Source organism: Homo sapiens, chromosome 10 (assembly GCF_000001405.40).
Source record: "Homo sapiens chromosome 10, GRCh38.p14 Primary Assembly".
In the NCBI taxonomy this organism is placed as follows: Eukaryota; Metazoa; Chordata; class Mammalia; order Primates; family Hominidae; genus Homo; species Homo sapiens.
Window position 1 is genome coordinate 112852782 of NC_000010.11, and position 24718 is coordinate 112877499.

Below are 24718 nucleotides of genomic sequence, written 5' to 3' on the forward strand. Positions count from 1 at the left end.
TGTTTGTTTGTTTTTTGAGACAGAGTCTTGCTCTGTCGCCAGGCTGGAGTGTGGTGGCACAATCTCAGCTCACTGCAACCTCCACCTCCCAGGTTCAAGCAATTCCTCTGCCTCAGCCTCCCGAGTAAGTGGGACTACAGGCACACACCACCACACCCAGCTAATTTTTTTTTAATTGTATTTTAGTAGAGATGGGGTTTCACCATGTTGACCAGGCTGGTCTCGAACTCCAGACCTCGTGATCCACCTGCCTTGGCTTCCCAAAGTGCTGGGATTACAGGCATGAGCCACCGCGCCCGGCCAGGGCTGTCTTTCAAAGTGCCATGTTCTCCTTGTCCAAGGTACAGCCAGGCAACCTGGCCAAATCCATAAGACTCACTCTTCCAGGGGGGTAAATTCTGAATGGGGTGACAAGTTAAAGCTCACTATTTCGCCTGCAATCTCCAGTGACCATGTCTGTGAGCTCCTACTACCTCCAACCCCAGAACTGCCCACATCCTTGTCCTTGCAAGACCTGCTTGCTCAGCTTTTTCTTGAGTCTTTAAGAATGAGTTTCTGTTGCTTGCAGCCATCAAACTCCAAGTGATGCAGGGTCTGATAGTGGGCAAGGTGTGTAGCCTCTTTGAGCCCTGGATTCTGCATTTATATACTGGAGATACCAGGACATACCTCATGAGGCGAGGGGCAAGGTGCTTAGTCCATCATGTGTGTTTCACAAATATTTCACCCTTTCTTCCTTGCCCTGCTGAACAAGTGACCTTCAAAAGGTAATGGACTGTACCCACATTCCACAGGTGGCCAGTGGCAAACATCGATGGTCAAGTCTCCTGAGACCTCGTGTTGTTCTTCAAGACCTCTCTGCTTTTCAAGCATTTCCTTGAGTCACACAGATGGGTGAGCAGTGTTTTATCCATTTCAATGGAGGAAAAGTGAAATTTCTTTAAAAATAAAAACAAAACTTGCCAAAAACTCATCATAAGGAACAAAAGCAACAGATTCTCCAGCTGTGGCCCTTTACCAAAAGCTCTGGCCCAAGCTTCTACACAGCAAAGCTGCTACACTCCGTGGACTCCTCTCTCCATCAGACTGCCACTGATTTTGTTTTAGAAGCATACGTAGGAAGAGCCTTGGCTTTGAGGGACCTGCTGCCTCCCCTGTGACTCTGTATTGGTAAGCACAGAAGATCCTCAGATCCTCCGAGAAGTTCTCAGCAGACATCCTCAGCTCCAGGCCTCCCTTCTTCTCCACCCTGCTCAGCATGAACCTAGAGCTGGAGGCAGCTAGCCATGTCTGGCTGCCTCCCTGGGTCCTCATATGATACTGAGCCAGGTCTCCAGGGAACACTGTTCACATGGACAGAGTCTGAACTCAGTAGTGATGCTCCTGAGTGGGTTCCACAGGAAACACACCGGCTATTCCAAAGGCCTGCTGGCCACAAAGCCTTCTAACAATAATAAGTACTAGCAGTATCACTGCTGTTTATTGCTTCCTGTCAGGTGGGAACTAAGTCCATTAGCCCAAGTTCAGTAGCCCTGTTTTACAAATGCAGAAACAGGCTTAGAACAATTAAGAAACTTGATCAAGACCACACAATTATTAAGGGATAGAGTCAAGAATTTCACTCAGGTCTCCCTGACTCCAAAGCCTGTGCTCTTAACCACTATAGATGTCTCTAATGCTTCGGAGGGGAGGCCACCATGACCCCCACTTACAGTCACCAGCTGGGCCCCGGCCGCCCAGAGATCATGCAGAGTGAACAGAACTGATTTCCAGCACTGCTGTTCCATGGCTGTGTGACTTTCGACCGTCTCATTTCCCCTCTGTTTCTCAGTTCCCTCTTATGAAAGATGGAGGACACTATACCTGCCATGCCTCAGTGGGACAAGATCATCTATAATGTTCTGCATGGAAGCACCATGAAAGGCATTACCAGCTTGAAGAAAACCAGTGTCTGGAATGAGGCGACACCAGTATGTAGGGAGAGCAATCGGGAAGCGATAAGAAGGAGATTCACTAGGGGTCTGCTGGGCCGCCTGCTGCAGAGAACGCCTCTAGAATCCTGCACTCCCGTCTTCCTTCCTGCAGCTCAAAGCTGGCCCACCCTGGAGATGGTACCAGCTGGGGCTCTCCTTCCGGGCCTCAGTGAGGGAGGGGAAGGAGCCAAGAATGGGTCAGTAACCACAGGATTCTTTGAGTTCACAGAGAGTCTGCCTGCTGTGGGCCTCCAAAGAGTTCTGCCAGTTCTTCCCAAGTCAGCTTGGGCTTAAAGTCCTTCCTGCACCAACTGGGAAGGAGCTGGAGAAGCTCCACCTGGGATGGGAAGCTCGACCTGGGATGGGAAGCTCGACCCGGGATGGGAAGCTCGACCCAGGATGGGAAGCCTACTTTGTGTTGAACTTCCTATTTTGTCACTCTCTGCAGGCCCAATGACCAGAGAATTTTCTCTGCCCTTTCTGGCAAGATTAGTGGCTTCCCCTCACCCACTCTACCCCCACCTCCTCATTACAGAACAAAGGAACCTGGCTTCTTCCCGCCAGTCCAGAGAGGGTTCCTAATTGGCTTTCCATTAAAGAGAAAATAGACTACTGTTTCCACCTCATTATTTATGAGCCTTTCTGGAAGTGCATTTCCATGCACTCTGGGATTACTCACGCCCATTTTGCTTGGCCATATTTTATGATCTGTTTTATTTATTCAGGGCCGCTATTGGGTACTCACATCTGAAACCAATTAAAAACCAAGAAATAGGAAAAATCAAATAAACACCTGGCGATGTCCAAACGCAAAGTCTTCCTGAAGCCTGCTTTTGGTGGGACTGGCATAGCCATGCCACCAATATAGGCCATTGGAAGTGGAGCTTGCTCTCCTAGCAATATTAGGTAACACGGCCACACAAAATGGCAGCCCACAGATGCACAGACCTCCTGCCCACAGAGCTTGGGCTGAAGTTGCCTGGTTCGTTGCTTCCCCTGAGGTCTCCCTGTGCAGGGCAGGGGTATTACTTATTCATTTTTGTATCCTCCTTTCAGCCTGGCACATAGTAGGAAATCAATAACTCTTTGCTCAGCCTTGTTCTCATAGACACCATGCTTGCTGTGAGTGCACCTGTGGACACACTGTCTCAAGAGTTTAAAAGGACAATATGGAGAACCATCTCTATGAATTCTGGAGTGGTTTGCCTTTCATAAACAGTGATTTCAGCTCACTCTGGATGGATTCCTAGGGCTAAACACACTCCCTTTCAATCTCAGGAAAGCAGCTACCAAGCCTGGTTTTCCTAGAATCAGACAGTCTCACCTTCTGAAACCCTGCGCTCAGCCAGGTACAGATGGGGGTGCCATGGAAAAGAAAGCAGGCACTCCTATCTTTTTCAGGGGAGCCTCAGACCATTCACACATCTGCAAAGGGTTTGCTTTGGAGTCTGTGTGCATGGACAGCTCACCCTGCCTCTTGCTTTTCCACATAAAATGTGCAGAAGCCCCCCTTTCATCTCACCTGCCCTCACCCATCTCCAACTTCAATCTCTGCCAGAATTAAAGGCTCCTCTCTGTCCATTTCCCACCTCCACCCTGGAGAGGCAGCACGTTGCTTGGTGGTCTCTGTCCTGAAGCCAATGCCACACCCCTCCCATTCCTCTCCTTAGGCTGAGCTGGGTGTGTGGACAGTGTGGACAAGGACAGGAGCAAGTGGGAGCGGGAGCACCTGCGGGGCAGGCAGATGGGTGGGGGGTGAAAGGCAGCACATGGCAGGACTTTGCAGGGCTTCTGTTGGGATTGAAGAAAATAATAATACACACCACATCTGTTACTTTTTTTTTCTCTCTAGGATATCTATGATGCTTTTTGTAATTAGATTTTATACACATACACACATACACACATTTGGGGATGGAACTGGGCCCCTGAATTCTTAGGGATCATGCTGTTTATAGACTTATATCTCCCAATCTCCAGCCTCCCCTAGTAATTTATATAAGTCCTCTGTATTAGTCAGTGTTCTCCAGAGAAATAGAACCAGTTGGATCTAGCTAGCTAGCTAGCTATACACACATAGACAGAGAGAAAGGAAGAGAGAGACAGAGACAGTATGGGAATTGGCTCACAAAATTATGGATGCAAAGAAGTCCCATGATCTGCTGTCTGCAACCTGGAGAACCAAAGAAGCTGGTGGTATCATTAAGTTCAAGTCTAAAGACCAAGTCCGAAGGCCTGAGGACAGGGGAGCAGATAGTGTAAGTCCTGATCTAAGTCCAAAGGCCCAACAACCAGGAGTACCAATGTCCAAGGGCAGGAAGAGATGGATGTCCCAGCTCAAATAGAAAGAGTGAATTCACCTTTCCTCTGCCTTTTCATTCTACCCGGGCCATCACTGGCTTAGAAGATGCCTGCCCACATTGGTGAGGGCAATCTTCTTTACTGGGTCTACTGATTCAAATGCTAATCTCTTCCACTCCCTCACAGACATACCCAGAAATAGTATTACCAGCTATCTGGGCATCCCTTAGCCCATGCAAGTTGACACATAAAATTAACCACCATAACTATCATTCCTTCCTTCCTTCCTTCCTTCCTTCCTTCCTTCATTTGTTCATCAATCAGCCAACCATGTGTTGAATGCCTCTATTGGAAGACACTGGCTGCACATCTGATATAAGCTACCCCGTTGTTAGCTTCCAGCCTGTGCCTTCTCTTGAGATAATGCATTTCACAGGCTTACTCTTCACTTTGAATGTAAGAACTATGAAAGTCATCAACTCTTGAGACAGGAAAGGAACTAGGAAACTGACACACTCTATTTGTCCACAAACCACTGCTTCCAAATTTGAGGTCTGTTCTCCTATCTCTTGGTCACATTCTGGCAAATATGATCACTTCTTGCTGCCACAAATGTCTCGCCTGATGCTTCCAAATATGCAACGCAAAGTTACCCAATCTCCCTGTCCCCTTTCTTCATCAGCACATGGGGACTGATAGTACGGTGAAGATCCACGCAGCAAATAGGCAGGTGACTGGGGGGAGTGGAGAGGAGAATGCCCGCACAGCCACAGACAGCTTCCCACTCAGAGAAAGGTCCAGAGTTTGGCAATGTCAAGGTGGCTGAGTAAACCTGAATTACTCTGTGTGCCCATTATTGGCCCCCTGGGGAAGGCTAAGGATCCCTTCTCAGATTAATGTTTTTAAACAGATAAAACAAAATCCTAAGATGAGTAATCCAACTATATTAGAATACAGTTATCAAAATATTTTTAAAACTGTAATAGAGTAATTTGTGTGCTACTTTTTTTTTTTTTTTTTTTTTTTGAGACAGAGTCTCGCTCTGTTGCCCAGGCTGTAGTGCAATGGCACAATCTCGGCTCACTGCAACCTCTGCCTCCCAGGTTCAAGTGATTTTCCTGCCTCAGCCTCCCGAGTAGCTGGGATTATAGGCATGCACCACCACACTCGGCTAATTTTTGTATTTTTAGTAGAGATGGGGTTTTTCCATGTTGAACAGGATGATCTCAAACTCCTAACCTCTGGTAATCCACCCACCTCGGCCTCCCAAAGTGCTGGGATTACATGAGCCATCACACCCGGCCCTTTTTTTTTTTTTTTCAGACAGAGTCTCGCTCTGTTACCTGTCACCCAGGCTGAAGAGCAGTGGAGCGATCTTGGCTCACTGCAACCTGTGCCTCCCAGGTTGAAGAGATTCTCGTGCCTCAGCCTCCCAAGTAGCTGAGACTACAGGTGCCCACAACCATGCTTGGCTAAGGCGAGCAGATCACTTGAGGCCAGGAGTTCCAGACCAGCCTGGCCAACATGGTGAAACCCCATCTCTACTAAAAATACAAAAATTAGCTGGCCATGGTGGCAGGTGCCACTAATCCCAGCTCCTCGGGAGGCTGAGGCAGGAGAATGGCTTGAACCTAGGAGTTACAGTGAGTTTAGATAGTGCCACTGTACTCCTGCCTGGGCTACAGAGTGAGACTGTGTCTCAAAAAAAAATAAAAAGAGGAGGGGGCTTTGGATATCCACAGGTCATGGAGTACAGGGGTACGGAGATGATCTCATCTAGATCTCAGGGTCCTGGGACCCCTGCACATTGGGAGGCGGCATCTAGAAGGGTCACAGGGCCTTTGGCAGAAGAGAAAGTAGGTCATTCATGGCTCTGATGTCCAGGGGTCTGCAGAACGGCCATTCTGGTAACCCCCTTACTTCTCACTTGCTTTTTCCACAACACACAACCCTTCCCTGGGGTTCAGGCATCCAGAAAACAGGTGTGGCCTTCCCGGGGTGTGGGGTGCTCCCATCACCATATCTTAAGTGTTTGGCCCTTTCAGAAATCTGAGTGAGAGACTGGCTCCTGGCAGTTGTCAGCCCAGGGGCTGGTTGCTGAGGAAGTTCTAATGCGAATCCAACCAATGAACCCCCTTTGCCCTGCCCTGCCTCCAGCAAGCCCGTGCTTCCTCACACTGTCTTCCCCATGCTGTTTTGTAAGTTTTCTTCCTAATCTCAACCTCAATTCCTTTTTCCCATTCTTCTGAATGTTAAAGTCATGACCTTTGCGGTTTATGGGCCACCAGAGACTGAACTAAATGTGTTAGCTCAGAGTCCAAACAAGTAATAGCCAGCCAATTAAATTAATAATCCATACCGTTACAATGTTTAACCACGGCTGTTTCCTCAGCGGTCTGTTTAAATCACAGCCAAGGCCTGACCCATTAAAATGAATAACTGGAATTATGAGAAACTCCATTTAATAAACACAGCGAGGAACGCAGCACAATTGGGCATGAAATATTTATTACCACTTGAAGCAGAGAGCTGTTTGGGACTTTCAGATGGGATTAATGAATGCGTTTTAATTTGACTCACAAGGTGGGAGGTGGGGCTGGAACCGGGAGTCCTTTGGTAGATTCCTAGAAAAATCATCTCACCTTATATTATCACACTGTGATGGGGCTACTTGTTTATGTGTGGGCCTCCTTCAATCCATAGTAATCATGATCCTACAGGGACTTAGTACTTGCTTAGCAAATGTTACTGGATGGATGTACAGATGGATGGATGGATGGATGATCAGACGGATGGGTGGATGGATGATCAGATGGATAGATGAATGGATAGATGGATGGATGGATAGATGGATGGATAATCAGATGGATGGATGGATAATCAGATGGATGGATGGATGGTCGGATAGATGGATGGATGGATGGATGGATGGATGGATGGATGGACACATGGATGGATGGATGATTGGATGGACGCATGGATGGATGGAGTGATGGATGATCAGATGGATGGGTGGATGGATGATCAGACAGATGGATGAATGGATAGATGGATGGATGGATGGATGGATGGATAATCAGACGGATGGTCAGATGGATGGATGGATGGACAGATGGACACATGGGTGGATGGATGGATGGATGGATGATCAGATGGATGGATGGATGGATGGACAAATGGATAGATAGATGGATGAATGGACTAATTATGGTAAAATCCTTTTGACATTTTAGTATCTGCACTTCAGTGATACAGAACATATAAAACACAGCGCAGTGCCTGACACATTCAAGTCGTGCAGTCAATAATAACTGTCATTACAATTAGGAGAGCAAGATCTCATTAATTTACTAGAAAATCAGTTCTCACATTTGGCAACTCTTTGGGAGTTTCAGAGCTGCCCCAGGACCCAAGTTCCCACCCTGACTGGCCCGTTTATCTTTATGTGCACTTGGGAGCCTGATTTGCATTAGAGGTTTTTATTTTACTGTTTTTGGCTTTTCTCAGAGTTGCTCCCTTCTCTATTTTCCCAAAGCTCAATGTCTTATCCCTGCATTTGCCCCAGCATGTCCCTGTTCTCTCTGGTATGGCTACATTTCACAGGGTCTGTTTCCTTTTCCCAGACAATGTCAGCTCTGAAGTTTTGATAACGGGTTTAGAAAATGTGGTTGCTGTAATGATAGCCCTTAGCAAGTTTTGTAAGCGCAGTGATTATTGGGGATCTCTGAACAAGATAACTGAGCCTTTTCTATAGGAGAGCCCCAAATGGGAACAAGATGGCTCAACTCTGCCAAAACTTGCTTTCCAGAGAAAGGGGAAAGTAGGCAACCCAAGCTGTGTGCTGATGGAGCACCTTTGACATCGTAAGGTCTGGTTGAGGGGGTGGGGAACAGGAGGGAAAAGAGCCACGGAAGGCTTAGCTTTGGTTTTCCCTTTTGAGAACCAGTGGGCATCTCTTGGAGACTACAGAAATTCCGCTCAGGTTCAGTCATCACATTTGCAGGTCTGGAATTCAATGTATTGATAAATACAAGGCGGGCAAAGGGCAGTCTCATTTTGGATACGGAGACACTTGAAACTAAAACCAGAAAGAGGAATGCACTTTATAAAGGAGGGTAGGTCTCTGTGTTTGGAGGTGGTGTTGGAGATTTTTTTTCTTTCACTGAGGAAAAGATGGATCTAACTACATGGAGATTGATGGGATCTTGCCACCTCCCTACTAAATTCAAAAGCCCACCATGGTCCCAAAGAAGAGGAGTGTCACCAGGGGCCTACATGGCCTCACGGGATGTGGCATGGGGAGTTTGCCTGGTCCAAAGAGACCTTCAAGAGATTGGAACTTCAAAGGGCTCTGTCTATCTGGCAGTCTGCAGATATGATATCAGCGTTAGTATCTGTTACTTCTATTTCTTTAATCCTTAAGGATGGATTTGACACATGGCTGCGTTGGAATCATGTGTTTTCCTACATGGTGGAGGAGCCTTATATGGAATAAGAGAGCTCCAACCTTCCTGGTAGAAGGCTTCAGAATTACATAAATACAGAAGGTAGAGCTGCTTCTGTATCACCCATCCCTGCCCTACTAGATTGTACGTTCCTACAGGGTAAGACTATGTCTTATTCATGTTTGTATCCCCCACTGTGACTTGCATAGTAGCTGATGTCCTGTAGGTTCTCAGCAAATGTTTGTGGAAAGTAAAAGCCCCCATTCGTGGGGGCTGTGTGCTATCCTGAGCTCCGTGCTAAGTTTTTTGCATGTTCCCTCTCTTGTACTGTTTCCAACCACACTAAGGCTCTCTCTTATCCCCCATGTTATGGATGAGGCCACTGAAACAAAAGAGATTCAGCCCTTGTCCAAGATCATCTAGATAACAAGGAATTTGATAATAAGGAATTTGAACCCTCGTCTATAATATTCCTAAGCCTTTGCTTTCATTGCTGTGCCATTTGGTCTGCAAGAGTTAAACTCACACACAACTTAACCAAGCACAGAAACAGACAGAGCCTGAGCAAGGCTGTGAGGGTGAGGTTGCAGAGAGAGGAGGTGGAAGAGATTCTGGCAGCATAGGCTTGTCTCTCTCTTATGGCTTTCTCTTTCACATCTCTTACCCAAAGCATAATTGAGTTTTCTCCAGTGCTTTGTGCCCACCAAGCACATTGTTACTAACAGATAGTTCCATCCCTCAAACCTCTTAATGCATCCATGAGGTATGGCAAGAAGGCCAAGAGTAGAAAGCAAGAGGCATGGGTTCTTGGCCTGGCTCTGCCACTGATGTTTGGTATAAACTTGGGCAAGCCACCTGGGCCCAGCTTACCTGACAGTACTCTGAGGGAGTTGGATTAGCTGATCTTCATCTCTCTTCTATAATTCCTCAGATAGGCCATCATCACATTAAATGCCTTCTCCTAGCCAATCTGGCTTAGTCTTTGAGGGTCAGAAGATGGTGACTGAGGGGCTTATGACAGTTTCTGTGCCTGTCTACAGGATCCAGGAGCCCAGGTCTGGCTGTGTAAGTAAGAAACCAGCCAATGGTACATGAACACCAAGTGAACACAGAGTGAGGTCAGGCCACTCTGGGACTTACCGAGGTCTGCCCTGACCAATAGCCACCAAGTTCCTATGTACTTTAGCACTCTGGTTTTTGGTTTCACCTGTATATTGAGGATGATAAAGCCTGTGCTGCTTTCTTCCAGGACTATAAGAGGGACTAAATAATATCACAGATGCTTTGAAAGGTTGGAATGTGCCAGGCACGGTGGCTCATGCCTGTAATCCCAGCACTTTGGGAGGCCAAGGTGGGTGGATAACCTGAGGTCAGGAGTTCGAGACCAGCCTGGCCAATATGGCAAAACCCTGTCTTTACTAAAAGTACAAAAATTAGCCAGGTGTGATGGTGGGCACCTATAATCCCAGCTACTCAGGAGGCTGAGGCAGGAGAATTGCTTGAACCCAGGAGGTGGAGGTTGTAGTGAGCTGAGATGGTGCCATTGCACTCCAGCCTAGTCGACAAGAGCAAGACTCCATTTCAAAAAGAAAAGAAAAGTTGGAATGTACTAAACAAATGTGAACAATTAAATTATTATTTCCTTGATTCCTCTCTGGGAAAGTTGAAATACCTTGATTAAATCAACTGTACCAAGCCCCTTTTAGAAACATAGATGATGATTTTGGTCACATAATATATCAATCATTGGATTTTCTATTTTGGATCTAATCAGAGCCGAGAGCTCATCAATTCAGCTTAGATATTTATCCAAACAAAGGTCAACTTTTAAACCACAGTAGTTTTCTAAAAAGTCCATCAATGAAGAATGTGCTTAAATAATTTAAGGTCCATTTATGTCATGGAATAATACTAAGTACTAAATAATACTAAATACTAAATAATACTAAAGTGAAAAGTCAAATTGTTTTATATATATGTATTTTATATATATACATATATATATATGTATTGGTCTTTTCTCATATTGCTAATAAAGACATACCTAAGACTGGGTAATTTATAAAGGAAAGAAGTTTAATTGAGTCACAGTTCCACATTGGCTGAGAAGGTCTCACAGTCATGGTGGAAGGCAAATGAGGAACAAAGTCACGTTTTACATGGCAGCAGGCAAAGAGACCGTGGGAGGGGAACTGCCCTCTATAAAACCATCAGATCTCATGAGACTTATTCACTATCATGAGAACAGCACAGGAAAAATCCACCCCCATGATTCAATTACCTCCCACCAGGTCCCTCCCATGACACATGGGAATTACAGGAGCTGCAATTCAACATAGGTGGAGACACAACCATATCAATATCTATTGTACAATCCCATTTGAAAAATATATAAATACATATCTATGAGGAAGCATGTATGTGTGTGGGTACGTGTACTCATGAAAACATAATAAAAAGTCTGGAAAAAAATGTACTCGTGAAAACATAATACAAAGTCTGGAAAAAACTGTTAACTGTGGTTACCTCTGGAGAAGAGTGTAGGACAGTGGTGATAAAGAAAGTGTTTTCTTTTTCCACATTGTATTTTTTATACTTCTAAAACTCTAGCTCTTTTTTTTTTTTTACAATAAAGATATATTACTTTTATAATTAAAGTGTTTTTTAAATGACCTAGAAAGGGAGAAGAGACTCAGAGTGAGTCCTGACAGAATTGTTCGGGTCCTAAGGGACCTTGGCAGGGAATGCTGGTTAACCCTTGATATCCTTCTCCCCACCTCCCCACCGTCTTCCATAGAACCTCAATTTTACATTCCCAGACTCCCTTGCAGCTAGGTGTGGTCATGTGATAAGTTCTGGCCAAAGGGAAGTGAGCAGAAATGATTTGCTAACAGCCAGTCCGTGGCCTTAAAGGGAAGGGGCTCTGGCCCAATTCAGCCTCCACATGTAACCTTGAAATCTTTAGGCCAAGATGGCTACATTAGAGAGAAATACACTTCTATCTTGTTTAAGCCTCTGTTATTTTAGATCCTTGTTTCAGCAGCTGAAACTTTATGCAATCCTATACAGAAAACTAGAAATTAATTAGTAAATATTAAGGAGTGTGCCCAGCCTCTGCCACTCCTTAAAGGGATGAAAAGAAACATGAGACTCATTTCTTCTGCCCAAGGGGCTCAAAACCTAGCAGATAAGGCAAGTCTGATTCACTTTTTCTAATTGTGCAGGAGAGTTTATCAGAGGCTAACTTGTGTGCCAGACACAGGAAGGTCTTCATTTCAATGCAGTGCATTACATGAGTCCTGCCCTGTTTTATCAAAGGATGAGAAGTTGGTCATACAAAATATAAGGTGAAAAAAAGAGACCATCCAAACAGAAGAAAGAGATGGACAAGAGGAAAAGACTTTTGGGTCCAATACCTTGGCAGGATGAGTTTTGTTGGTAAAAATAAACAAATAAATAAATAATGGCAGGGCCTAATGACCAAGGAGTGAGAAGAGGGAGTCCCTCTAGCTGTTGCTGAGTCCTTCCTTGTGCCTTCTATAGCCACTGCAAGTTAAATATCAAGCTGCATATACTTACAAATGCACCCAAATGTCCATCAAAAACCTATGTGAATTGCTTGCTCTAGACTGAGCATCAGTCTTTATCCGAGGAGCCCTACCTTTAGTGAGAAATAGTATTTAAGGACCATAATCTGGGCTCTCTTTGTTGCTGAATTGGTTGCTGTTTCTTAATGTTTAAGTGGAAAGTGCTGAAAGATATTTTTTTAAGGGAAAATACATCATGAGTTTAAACAAACAATCCAATTCTAATTCTATTGGGTTTTTACTTATTTGATTTTATATATGTATTTCTTTTATGATGAAAATCTTGATTCCTAAAGAGCACCAACGTAATTACTTATTTTGAAGACGTAAAATAGTATCAAAATAACATCAGTATTAATGCTAACAACATGATTTTAAAGGTACAAAATGAGAGTGGATCATCGTCATATCAGCAAACGGCTATCAAAGACTTCTGTAATTGTGTCAGAGGACATAGAACTAACCAAAAGTGGCTCCCCACTCACCGAAGGTGGAGAAATCTGCACAGTAAAATAATAACTGCTTTAAATCAAAGCACATCAAATATGTTCCAATCCATGAGTTCACAGTGATACTTTTCTTTAAAACTCTCGTAGTTAATTATTAGAGATGGCTAGGGACCAAATTCATTTTCTGAAGACTGGCAAGTAAGGAAAGAATCAAGTATTTACCTGCCCTACTGGCATGAACTATGTTTCAGAAAAATCAAATAATTGATGTAGGAAAGTTCTTTTTTATACAAGATTCTCAGCTAATCAGTGCGAAAGAGTGACAAAATTAGAATAACACCATTTTACAACCTCTAATGAAATAATGGATCCAGGGCTAGGCGTGGTGGCTCAGGCCTGTAATCCCAGAACTTTGGGAGGCCAAGGTGGGTGGATCACTCGAGGTCAGGAGTTCGAGACTGGCCTGACCAACATGCTGAAACCCCGTCTCTACTAAAAATACAAAATTAGCTGAGCATGGTGGTGCACACCTGTAATCCCAGCTACTTGGGAGGCTGAGGCAGGAGAATTGCTTGAACCTGGGAGGCAGATGTTGCAGTGAGCTGAGATCGTGCCACTGAACTCCAGCCTGGGCGACAAGAGCAAAACTCGATCTAAAAAAAAAAAAAAAAAAAAAGAAATAATGGATCCAGGTAATGATCAGCAATGGCTCCTGAAATCATCCAGTGAGAATCTAATGGGGAACTGGATAGTGAACAGACCAGGCTGATGATATCTGAGCCCACTGATCAATCTTATAACAAATAACATTAAATACCCTCTCACATAAAGTAATACAAAATACACAGGACTCTATGAAAGATTCTTGCCAGGAAATCAAACCTAAATCTGATCTTGCTGCTAGCTCTAATTACAACTGACAGAAGGTACAGGGGAGAGAGGAACAGGTTAAAAAACACCCACATGATACAGTCAGCAAAAAACAGATTGTGGGACTCTCTATCAGATGACAACCCAGTTCTTTCAACAAATAAAGGTCAAGAAAAGGAAGAGAGAGAGGAGGAAACTGTACACTAAAAGAGTCTTAAGATCAGACACAAAGCCACGTATGTTATGAATTTTTTTATATAAAGCATTCGGAATAGGTAATTCCATAGAGACAGAAAGTAGATTAGGGGTTGTCTGGAGCTGGGGGAGAGGGGAACAGGGAATAATTACTTAAAAGGGTATTTTTATGGGGTGATGAAAAAAAAAATTTTTTTTTTTGAGACTGAGTCTCACTCTTGTCGCCCAGGCTAGAGTACAGTGGTGTGATCTCATCTCACTGCAACCTCTGCCTCCTGGGTTCAGGTGATTCTCCTGCCTCGTCTCCCACATAGCTGGGATTACAGGTGCCTGCCACCATGCCTGGCTAATTTTTATATTTTTTAGTAGAGACAGGGTTTAGCCATCTTGGCCAGGCTGGTCTCGAACTCCTGACCTCAGGTGATCCACTCACCTTGGCCTCCCAAAGTGCTGGGATTACAGGCGTGAGCCACCATGCTCAGCCTGATGAAAATGTTTTGAAAATAAAAGAGATGGTAGTTGCACAACATTGTGAATGCACTAAAGGCCACTAAATTGTACCCTTTAAAATGGTAATCACATGTTATGTGAATTTCACCTCAATAAAAGAGAGAGAGACAAAGACTTAAGAGACATATCAACCATATGTAAATGTGTGGTATGGATGCTGATTCCAATAAACCAATTGTAAAAAAATAAAATAAAAACTGGCCAGGCACAGTGGCTCACACCTGTAATCCCAGCACTTTGGGAGGCTGAGGCAGGCGGATCACGAGGTCAAGAGATCGAGATCATCCTGGCCAACATGGTGAAACCTGTCTCTACTAAAAATACAAAAATTAGCTGGGCACAGTGGCACACACCTGTAGTCCCAGCTACTCAAGAGGCTGAGGCAGGAGAATCACTTGAACCCGGGAGGCAGAGGTTGCAGTGAGCTGAGATCGTGCCACTGTACTCCACCTGGCACAGAGCAAAACTCCATCTCAAAAAAAAAAAAAAAAAAAATGAGACAATTAGAGACTTATGAACATTGATTATATACTTGCTGGTATTTTAATAAATTACTATTTTTTAAGTTTGATAATGATATTTTGGTTATATTATCACCAAAAAAAATCATTTTATGTTTAAAATATATACTGAAAATGTACAATTTATATGATGCCTGGAATTTGTTATAAAATAATCTGGTATGTTTGTGTATGTGAGGAAAGAGAAGTAGGAAGATATATAAATGTTGAAACTGGGTGATAGCTACATAGGAGTATCCTTACTCTCTATTACTGAAAATTTTTGAAACTTTCCAAAATAGATTCTAAAAATAAATTTGCAAAGTTGGTCACCCAATACTTTAAATATAGTTAACCTCTCTAGTGATCAAAGAAATGCAAATTAAAATTACAATATGCAATTACCCACCTGTCAGATTGGCAAAGGTTATGAGAATGTTAATACGCAGTATTGGTAAGGATTAGGATAACAGGCACTCTTTTGCCTTCCTGGTTCACTTGATATGACCTTGGTATCACCTTACTACAAAGCAGCTTGGCAGTATGACTGAAAAGCCTTAAATACGTAGGTACCCTTTGCCCCAGGAATTCTGCTTAATTTATCCAAAGGAAATGATTAAACAAGGGCACAAGATTGGTCAAGGATGTTTATTACAGTTTAATTATAATAACAAAAGATTTAAATAACCAAAATACATACCAATAAGAAAATGGTTTTAAGACAAAGGTATATCTACATAATGGATGTAGATATACAGAGCCATTAAGAGCTGTGACAAAGATGCATATATTCATTTGTTTACTTGTTTATTTATTTATTTGAGACAGAGTCTCACTGTGTTGCCCATGCTAGAGTGCAATGGTGCATTCTTGACTCACTGAAGCCTCGACCTCCTGGGTTCAGGTGATCCTTCCACCTCAGCCTCCCAAGTAGCTGGGACTACAGGCATGTGCCACCACGCCCGACTAATGTTTTGTATTTTTAGTAGAGATGGGGTTTCACCATTTTGCCCAGACTGGTCTTGAACTCCTTGGCTCAAGTAATCTCCCCACCTCAGCCTCCCAAAGTGCTGGGATTACAGGGTTGAGCTACCGTGACTGGCGAAGATGTATCTTTTATTAGCATAAGAAGATGTGTCATAGATACTTTAGTAAGGGGGAAAAATCAAGCTCCAAAGGTTTTATATGGTAAGATAATTTTTTTTAATGTGGGAAGAACTTGCAATGATGACAATCTCTTGGTGATGAGAACACGGATTATTTTTATTACTTTCCTTTTGCTTAACTTTATTTTTTAATTTTTATGCTTGAGGTCTTTTTTCCTAGGGAGGGGAAAGGAGAGAGGAGGAGAGGGGAATTGGGGCATACCTTCTGCACACGTGAGTTTGGGTTTCTTTTTTCTCTTCTTCCCAAGGGTGTAAAAGGTGTGCAAAAAATAAGAAATTTTAAAGGGGAGGTTGAAATAAAAACACCATCAACAATAAGAACTCAGACATAAACAGCAAAGTGGAGGAAACCGAAGGTACAGGGGAGCTCATGCTGCTTCCGTTTTTCATTTTCCTTTTTTTGGAGATGGAGTCTTGCTCTGCCGCCCAGGCTGGAGTCAGTGGCGCAATCTCAACTCACTACAATCTCTGCCTCCCAGGTTCAAGCGATTTTTCTGCCTCAGCCTCCCAAGATTACAGGCACCCACCACCACTCCTGGCTAATTTTTGTATCTTTAGTAGAGACGGGGTTTCACCATGTTGTCCAGACTGGTCTCAAACTCCTGACCTCAGGTGATCTACCCGCCTCAGCACCCCAAAGTGCTGGGATTACAGGCGTGAGACATCGCACCTGGCCTAGTTTTTCATCTTTCTAAGTGGATTTTGAGTAGTTTTGGAATTCCAAAAAATGAATTCCTATATAATTAAAATCACCTTTGTCAAGAGAGTAGATCTTAAATGTTCTCACCTCAAAAAAATAAGCATGTGAGGTGATGGATATGTCAATTAGCTTGATTTAATCATTTCACAATGTGTGCATATATCAAAACATCACATTGTACTCCGTAAACATATTCAATTTTGTTAGCCAGATATACCTTAGTAAAGCTGAAGGGAAAATTAAAAATTTTTAATTAAATAAATAAAATGTCCTTTGCTTACTAAAATGACTTAAGCCGGGCGCGGTGGCTCACGCCTGCAATCCCAACACTTTGGGAGGCCAAGGTGGGTGGATTACCTGAGGTCAGGAGTTTGAGACCAGCCTGGCCAATATGGTGAAACCCCATCTCTACTAAAAATACAAAAAAAGAATTAGCAGGGCGTGGTGGCACATGCTTGTAATCCCAGCTACTCAGGAAGCTGAGGCAGGAGAATCACTTGAGCCCAGGAGGCAGAGGTTGTAGTGAGCCGAGATCGTGCCACTGCACTCCAGCCTGGTTGACAGAGTGAGACTCTGTCTCAAAATAAATAAATAAATAAATAAAATAAAATAAAATAAAATAAAATAAAATAACTTGAGATCTGGAATTTATTCCAAAGTTACCTAGGGTTGCGCTATGAAGGAAACAATTTGGGCTGTGAGTTGACAGCTCTTGAACCTGGGTAACCAGGTACATAGGGATTTGCTTTAATTTGTTCTGTACTTCTGTGTTTGGAATTTTTCTTCTTTTTCTTCTTCTTTTTTTTTTTTTTGGAGACAGAGTCCTGCTCTGTCGTCCAGACTGGAGTGCAGTGGTTGCTCACTGCAACCTCAACCTCTGCCTCCTGGATTTAAGCAATTCTCCTGCCTCAGCCTCCTGAGTAGCTGGGACTACAGGCACCCGCCACCATGACCAACTAATTTTTGTATTTTTGGTAGAGATGGGTTTCACCATGTTGGCCAAGCTGGTCTCTCACTCCTGACCTCAGGTGATCCACCCACCTCGGCCTCCCAAAGTGGTGGGCTTATAGGTGTGAGCCACCATTCCCGGCCTTGTTTGGAATTTTTCATACTAAAGGTTCTTAAAAAAACAAATAAATAGGCCAAGCATGGTGGCTCATGCCTGTAATCCCAGCACTTTGGGAGGCCGAGGCAGGTGGATTACCTGAGGTCAGAAAGTCAAGACCAACCTGGACAACGTGGCAAAACCCCGTCTCTACTAAAAATACAAAAATTAGCCAGGTATGGTAGTGGGTGCCTGTAATCCCAGCTACTTGGGAGGCTGAAGCAAGATAATCACTTGAACTTGGGAGGTGGAGGTTGCAGTGAGCTGAGATTGTGCCACTGCACTCCAGCCTGGGCAACAGAGCCAGACTCCATCTCAAAAACAATGAATAAATAAATAATAATAATAATAATAATAGTAATCTTTGTCAGTACAAAATGACACTTTGTGATCTTTGGTGTCTACTCCTTCCACAACACACCCCCAGAGATCACAAAGGGCCAGCATCATGCTTCATTCTTCATGGCTTACCTCTCCTGTGGTCAGAAAGGGGTTGGGTTTGAACTGGCCCTCTTCTAAAAGTCCCTCCCTTTCTTACCTTTCCTACCTACACAAGACAGCTCTGATGGCTATTCTATGTGTCAACTTGACTGGGCTCAGGATGCCCAGATATCTGGTTAAACATTACCTCTGGATGTGCCTGCAAGGGTGTTTGCAGAAGAGATGAGCATTTGAACTGGTGGACCCAGGAAAGCAGATTCCACTCCCCAAAGTGGGTGGACCTCATCCAATCCATTGAGGACGTGACCAGAACAAAAATGAGCAAGAAGGTTGAATTCAGTCTCTGCCTGACTCTTTTTGTTGAGACATCAGTCTTCCTGGTCTGGGACTTAAACCATTGGCTCTCCTAATTCTCAGACCTTCAGACTTGGACTGAAACTGTAGCACTGGCTTTTCTGGGTCTTCAGCCTGCCAGCACAAATAGCAGGACTTCCTTTTTTTTTTTTTTTTTTTTTGAGATGGAGTCTTGCTCTGTGGCCCAGGCTGGAGTACAGTGGCATGATCTCGGCTCACTGCAACCGCTGCCTCCCAAGTTCAAGTGATTCTACTGCCTTAGCCTCCTGTGTAGCTGGGATTGTAGGCAGGTGCCACCATGTCTAGCTAATTTTAGTATTTTTAGAGGAGATAAGGTTTCACCATGTTGGCCAGGCTGGTCTCGAACTCCTGACCTCAAATGATCAGGATTACAGGTGTGAGCCATGGGATTACAGGTGTAAGCCATGGAGCCCGACCAAATTGCAGGACTTTTAGCCTCCATAACCACATGAGCCAGTTCCATATATATATTTATACTTACATAAATATATATACACACATATATACACACAATATGAATACTGTGTACACACAGTACATATATACACACAATATGGAACTGGCTCATTGCTTATATACATATAAATACACGTATATTATGGTGTGTGTGTGTGTGTGTGTGTGTGTGTGTTCTGTTTGCTCTGTTTCTCTGGAGAATCCTGACTAATATAATACCTGTCTGGGGCCAGGGGCACAGACTTCAGCCAAGAGCTTCAGAAGAGTCAACTGGTTCATTTAAGAAACAAACTCACAGCCTTTCCCTCTTTAGCACCTTCATCAACCTGATTCCTGTGTCACCCTACCTTTGATAGCCTGCCATGCTCCCTCCTACATGGGCCATCTCCTTCTCAGAGGAAGGAAGCATGAAGAGGCTAGTGGATTTGGCATTCCCAGCCTGAAGATTGGTTCTTCTCATTTGGCCACGCTTGACACTTTCTCTTCCATGCATGTTGGCTATAAAAGTGCCTGGAATGCAGAAATTACTATGAATATTCATGAAGTTACATTATGAATAATACTTCTGTAAAAATGAATAGTCTTCACCCTGGGAAATGGAATTCTTTGTCCACACTTTGAGTCACTTGGAGATTGTCAATAGCAGTGTTCAGCAAACTATATAGCCCATAGGCCAAAGGTGCTCCACCATCTATTCTCATATGGCCTGCAAGCCAAGACTGGATTTCACATCTGTAAATGTTTGAAAAAAAATCAAAAGAAGAAAACTATTTTGTGATATATAAAATTATATTAAATTCATATTTCAGTGTCTATACAGTTTTATTGAAACACAGCCACACTCATTTGCTTATATTTTGCCAAAGTCTGCTTTCATGCTACAAGGACAGTGTCAAGTAATTGTGATGGACACATGACCCACACAGCCTAAAACATTTAGTATCTAGCCCTTTACAGAAAAAGTTTGTTGACCACTGGTCTGTAGGCTTGAGGTTCTCCTAAATGCATTCTTGGTGATTCCAAACTCTTGTCTCATAGAGCTGAACTGCAGTGCCATACATTGCCAGTAGGTGAGGCTATGCACTACACACCAGCTGGAAACCACCCGGAGTTGAAGCTTGGGATTTAGAACATTCATTCATTCATTCAACAAAGATTTAATGAAGGCCAACTTTGTGCCACACACAGTTTTAAGTTCTAGATTTATAGAAGTCTACAAAACAAGCAGAAATGTCTGCTTTCCTGGAACTGAGGTTTTACTGAGAGGAAATGACCACAAACAAGATGGATAATACTACACAGTATGCTAAATGGAAATGAGTGTGATGAAGAAAAATAAAGCAAGGCAGCAGGTAGAAAGGGTCAGAGACGAGGAGAGTAGCAACTTTAAACCAGGTTAGGTGGCCGGGCACAATGGCTCATGTCTGTAATCCCAGCACTTTGGGAGGCTGAGGCAGACAGATCGCTTGAGGCCAGGAGTTTGAGACCAGCCTGGCTAACATGGTGAAACCCCGTCTCTACTAAAAATAAAAATAAAAATAAAAATAAAAATTAGCCCAGGGTGGTGGCACACACCTGTAGTTCCAGCTACCTGGGAGGCTGAGATATGAGAAACACTTGAACCCGGGAGGTGGAGGTTGCAGTAAGCCAAGATTGTACCACTGCACTCCAGCCTGCGTAACACAGCAAGACTCTTGTCTCAAAAATAAAATAAAATAAATAAATCAATCAGGTTAGGTAACAATTTTTACCTTGTCAGTGAAGTCCTGAAGGAGATGAGAGGGCAGGCAGTCCATGAATATGTCTGTGATAAGAATATTCCAGGCATGAGGAACAGCAAATGCAAAGGTCCTGGGGTGGACTGCACCCATCACATTCAAGGAAGATCAAAGGAAATGAGTAGTAGAAATTGAGGTCAGGAAGGCAAGGAGTAGAGGACAGCTCATATGGGGCCTTGTAGGTCACATTGATGACGTGGCTTTTATTCTGAGTGATGTATGAAGCCAGCAAAGCAATAGGAGCAGATAAGTAATATAATTTGATTTCCAATTCCTGAATTAATACCTGTCTGAAATATTCTACCACTACTTTACATAAATGAGGCATACTTTGCCTTTTATTTTGATATATTACATTTAAAGAAAGTTGAAATGTGTGAGGGTAAGTATAAAAAGTTGAGTAACAGGAAGAAAGTATGTCTGTGAGCACTTCAGTTATCCATTGCTGCATAACAAATCAACCCAAAGCTTAGTAGTTTAAATGAACAGTGATTTCTCATTTGTCATAATACTGTGGCTTTAGTAGGATCAGCCAGGCCATTCTACTCTCTTGGCATCAGCTGAGGTCACTCATGTGGCTGAATTCTACTGGCAAGTGAGCTGGACTGGCAGGTCTAACGTTTCACCCCACACATCTGGAACTTTGTTGTCCTCCATGGACTTCTCCCGCCAGTTATCTTAGGCTTTTTCACAATATGGCAGCCTCAGAGTCTCAGGGTTTCCAGGATTTCTGCAAAAGCTGGCTTCAAGAGGGAAACAAGAAGCTGCCAGAACTCTCAGAGGCTAGACCTATAACTGGCACAGCATCACTTCTGCCACATTGTACCGGTCAAAATAAGTCAAAAGTCCAGCCCAAATTCAAGGCTAGGAGAGATTCCATCTAGTGATAGTTGTTTGATGGGTTGAGCAGCATTCATGTACTTGGAGAGAAGAAATTGATGGTGGCCATCTTTGGAGACTGTCAGAATGGGCAAGAAACACTGATTCCTCCCACCACCACCATGGCATCTTGGGGTGCCCTTCTCTCCTTTTGGCCATTGTGTGTGCATAATATTGATCAGTTTGATTGGTGGATGGAAACTGATTAACTTTATGTTCTTGAATCATGTGTTTCCCTGAGGCCTGGAAATTATTCTGAGAAGCTCCCTGACCCCTATACACGAGCCCCCTTATAGCCTGTGTTCATTTTCCTCCCTGGCTCTGCAGGCCCACCATCCCCATTCCTGGGCATTGTCACACTCTGACAGGCAGCTGGGCTAATGTCAGAAAATGGGACAGGTGGTATGGCATTCTGCAGAATTTGGGGGATGTGGTGTAGCTTTTTCCCTGGAAGAAGCCAGAGCTGGCCAGACTGACCAAATGTGTACCGCACCCCTAATGATGGTCCACCTTCCCAAAAGGAAAGCAAGTGAAGGATCATGCATTTAAATTACCTCTAGGCTTCATAAACAAAACCAAAATCTTTTTTCTGGAAATAATTTTAGATTTACAAAAGAGTTATAAAGGTAGTACAGAAAGGTTCTCATACCCTTCACCCAGCTTCCCCTAACGTTAACTACTTACATAACCATGATCCATTTGTCAAAATGAAGACATTATCATTGACACCCTGGTGTGGTGGTGCACGCATGCAGTCCCAGCTACTCGGGAGTCTGAGGTGGGAGGATCCTCTGAGCCTGGGAGGTGGAGATTGCAGTGAGCCACTGCACTCCAGCCTGGATGATAGAGTGAGACCCTGTCTCAAAAAAGCAAAACAACAACAACAAAAACATTCCCACAATACTATTAGCCAAACTACAGACTTATTTAGATTTCCCCAGTTTTCCCACTACTGTCCTTCTTCCATTCCAAGAGCCCATCCCGAATTCCACATAGCATTTAGCCTTAGCCATCATGTCTCATTAGTCTCCTTCAGTCTATGACAGTTTCACAGTCGTTCCTTGTCTTTCATGACCTGGAGAGCTTTTGAAGAGTAGCACTCAGGTGTTTTGTAGAATGTTCCTCAATTTGGGGTTGACTCATGTTTTCTCATAACTCAACTGAGGTCATGAGGTTTGGGAAGAGGTGTCATGCCATTCACATTGTATCATGTCAGGGGCACATGCCACCAACCTGCAATATTACTGGTGATGTTAACTTTTGACATTAAGCTTACCAAAGGTGGTATTTGTGAGATTTCTCCACTGAGAATTCACTGTATTTTCCTTTCCATTCTCTATTCGTTAGAAGCAAGTCACAAAGTCCAACTCACACTCAAGGGGATGGGAATTGAACTTCTGGAGGGAGGAACCTCTGGGCTTTTAAAAATACACAGCACACTAGGCAGGGCTGCCAGGAGCAGGGAGGGTCCCAGGCCTGCCCACTGACTTGCTGTTGACCTTGGGTGAGTCACTGTGTTTCTCAGAGCCGGGATTTCCCTCCCTCTTATGAAATCCATCATGGTTTCACGGCCCCACAGCTGTCTCTAGGAGCCTCAGAAGGATTTAGCCAGTAACACTTTGAGCTGCTGGAATATGGATCTGATAGGGGACACAGGGTCCTTGTTAATGACACTGGGGTCCTGTTCCTGGTCTGTAAGCAGTTTCCAATCCTGATGCTCATCATCCCCATAACAGGAGTGCCCCCTCAAAGTGGTGGGGCCGTCACTATTTTTACAAAATGGTCTCATGTTATAAACATGCTAACGAGGATTTTGTGTAGCAGGAAATACCACAGGGAAATATTTTTGTAAAGTGAAGCATTATTTTGCAAAGTGAATAATTCCCCTGAATTAGCCTTTTTGTCTAAAGTCAACTTTTCACTTATTGGATTTGCTTAAACTAAGGGGCTCTAGGAATTCCTTCCAAAGTACACACTGTCTTTGTGCAAATGCTTCTGAATGGACAGAATGTTTTCTATGTTGATGGTGATGAATTACCTGAGAATCATAACTTATAGTAATTGTTTTACGGCCTTGTTGGTTGACTCTTTACTAGTGGAGAATCCTGGCCAGCCTGTATTCTGTCAATTGACACTAACAAGAACTAAACCCCAAAAAGATTGCCGTTTGGTGACTTTAGCAAAGACAATGAATGGTGAGCTATGTTTTTCTGGGAGTAGGTATATCTGCTGGGATTAGATGTTTTCTCTGTTTCTTCTGACATCACACCACTCTCCGTGGACCACCATGTCTGGGCACACAGGCTTTGCGTCCTACAAAACTCCAGGGTATCACTCCCAGGGATTCTGATGTGGATGGTGCTCCCTGGAGTTCAGCAACATGGCAGCCCTGTCTCCCACCCTGTGGAGCCACTGCTGAACTCGTCCAGTTTCTCACCCCGCGTCAGGTCTCTGATAAACCTGGAGGAGGGCTGACATAGAGCAGAATGCCACTGTCCAAGACTTTGGTGTTCTCTCCAAATTCCTCTCCACAGACAGTCAACAAAGGCTTCTGACAAGGTGGAAGAAAATGTTCATTCTACCCTTTTCATTTGTGGCCATGACTGGACCACCCCACCTGGACAATATGTAATAACGTCCTTCAGAGATCCTCTAATTGTCTGAGAATAGCACAATTACCTGGGTTGTGCTGGGGGAAGGGTGTTCGAGTGTTTCTTTGTTGAAGATAAAGAGTTAAAATAGACAAGAATTTTTAGTACTCTCTTGACATGTCTTCATTTTTCAACATAGAAAGAATCTCAAAAATGGAAGTGACCCATAGCATCCCTCATCCTGAGAAAGACTCAGGCCAAGAAACACCCCCCTCAGTGTTTCAGTCTTCTACTCCTTTTTTTTTTGAGACAGAGTCTTGCTCTGTCACCCAGGCTGGAGTACAGTGGCATGATCTCAGCTCACTGCAACCTCTGTCTCTTGGGTTCAAGTGATTCT

The 24718-nt window shown here is 43.8% G+C and overlaps 1 protein-coding gene across 2 annotated transcripts in view; it reads left to right on the forward strand.

The window, feature by feature from the left end:
* VTI1A (vesicle transport through interaction with t-SNAREs 1A) overlaps positions 1 to 2587 on the forward strand; it is a 408381-nt gene extending 405794 nt beyond the window's left edge. For both annotated transcript variants that reach the window (NM_001365713.1, NM_001365711.1), the window contains exon 9: positions 795 to 2587. Coding sequence is in view for 1 of the 2 variants with exons in the window: in NM_001365711.1 (NP_001352640.1) it covers positions 795 to 831 (37 nt within the window). In the remaining variant the exon portion in view is untranslated. The remainder of the gene's footprint in view (positions 1 to 794) is intronic.
* Positions 2588 to 24718: the final 22131 nt, after the last annotated feature.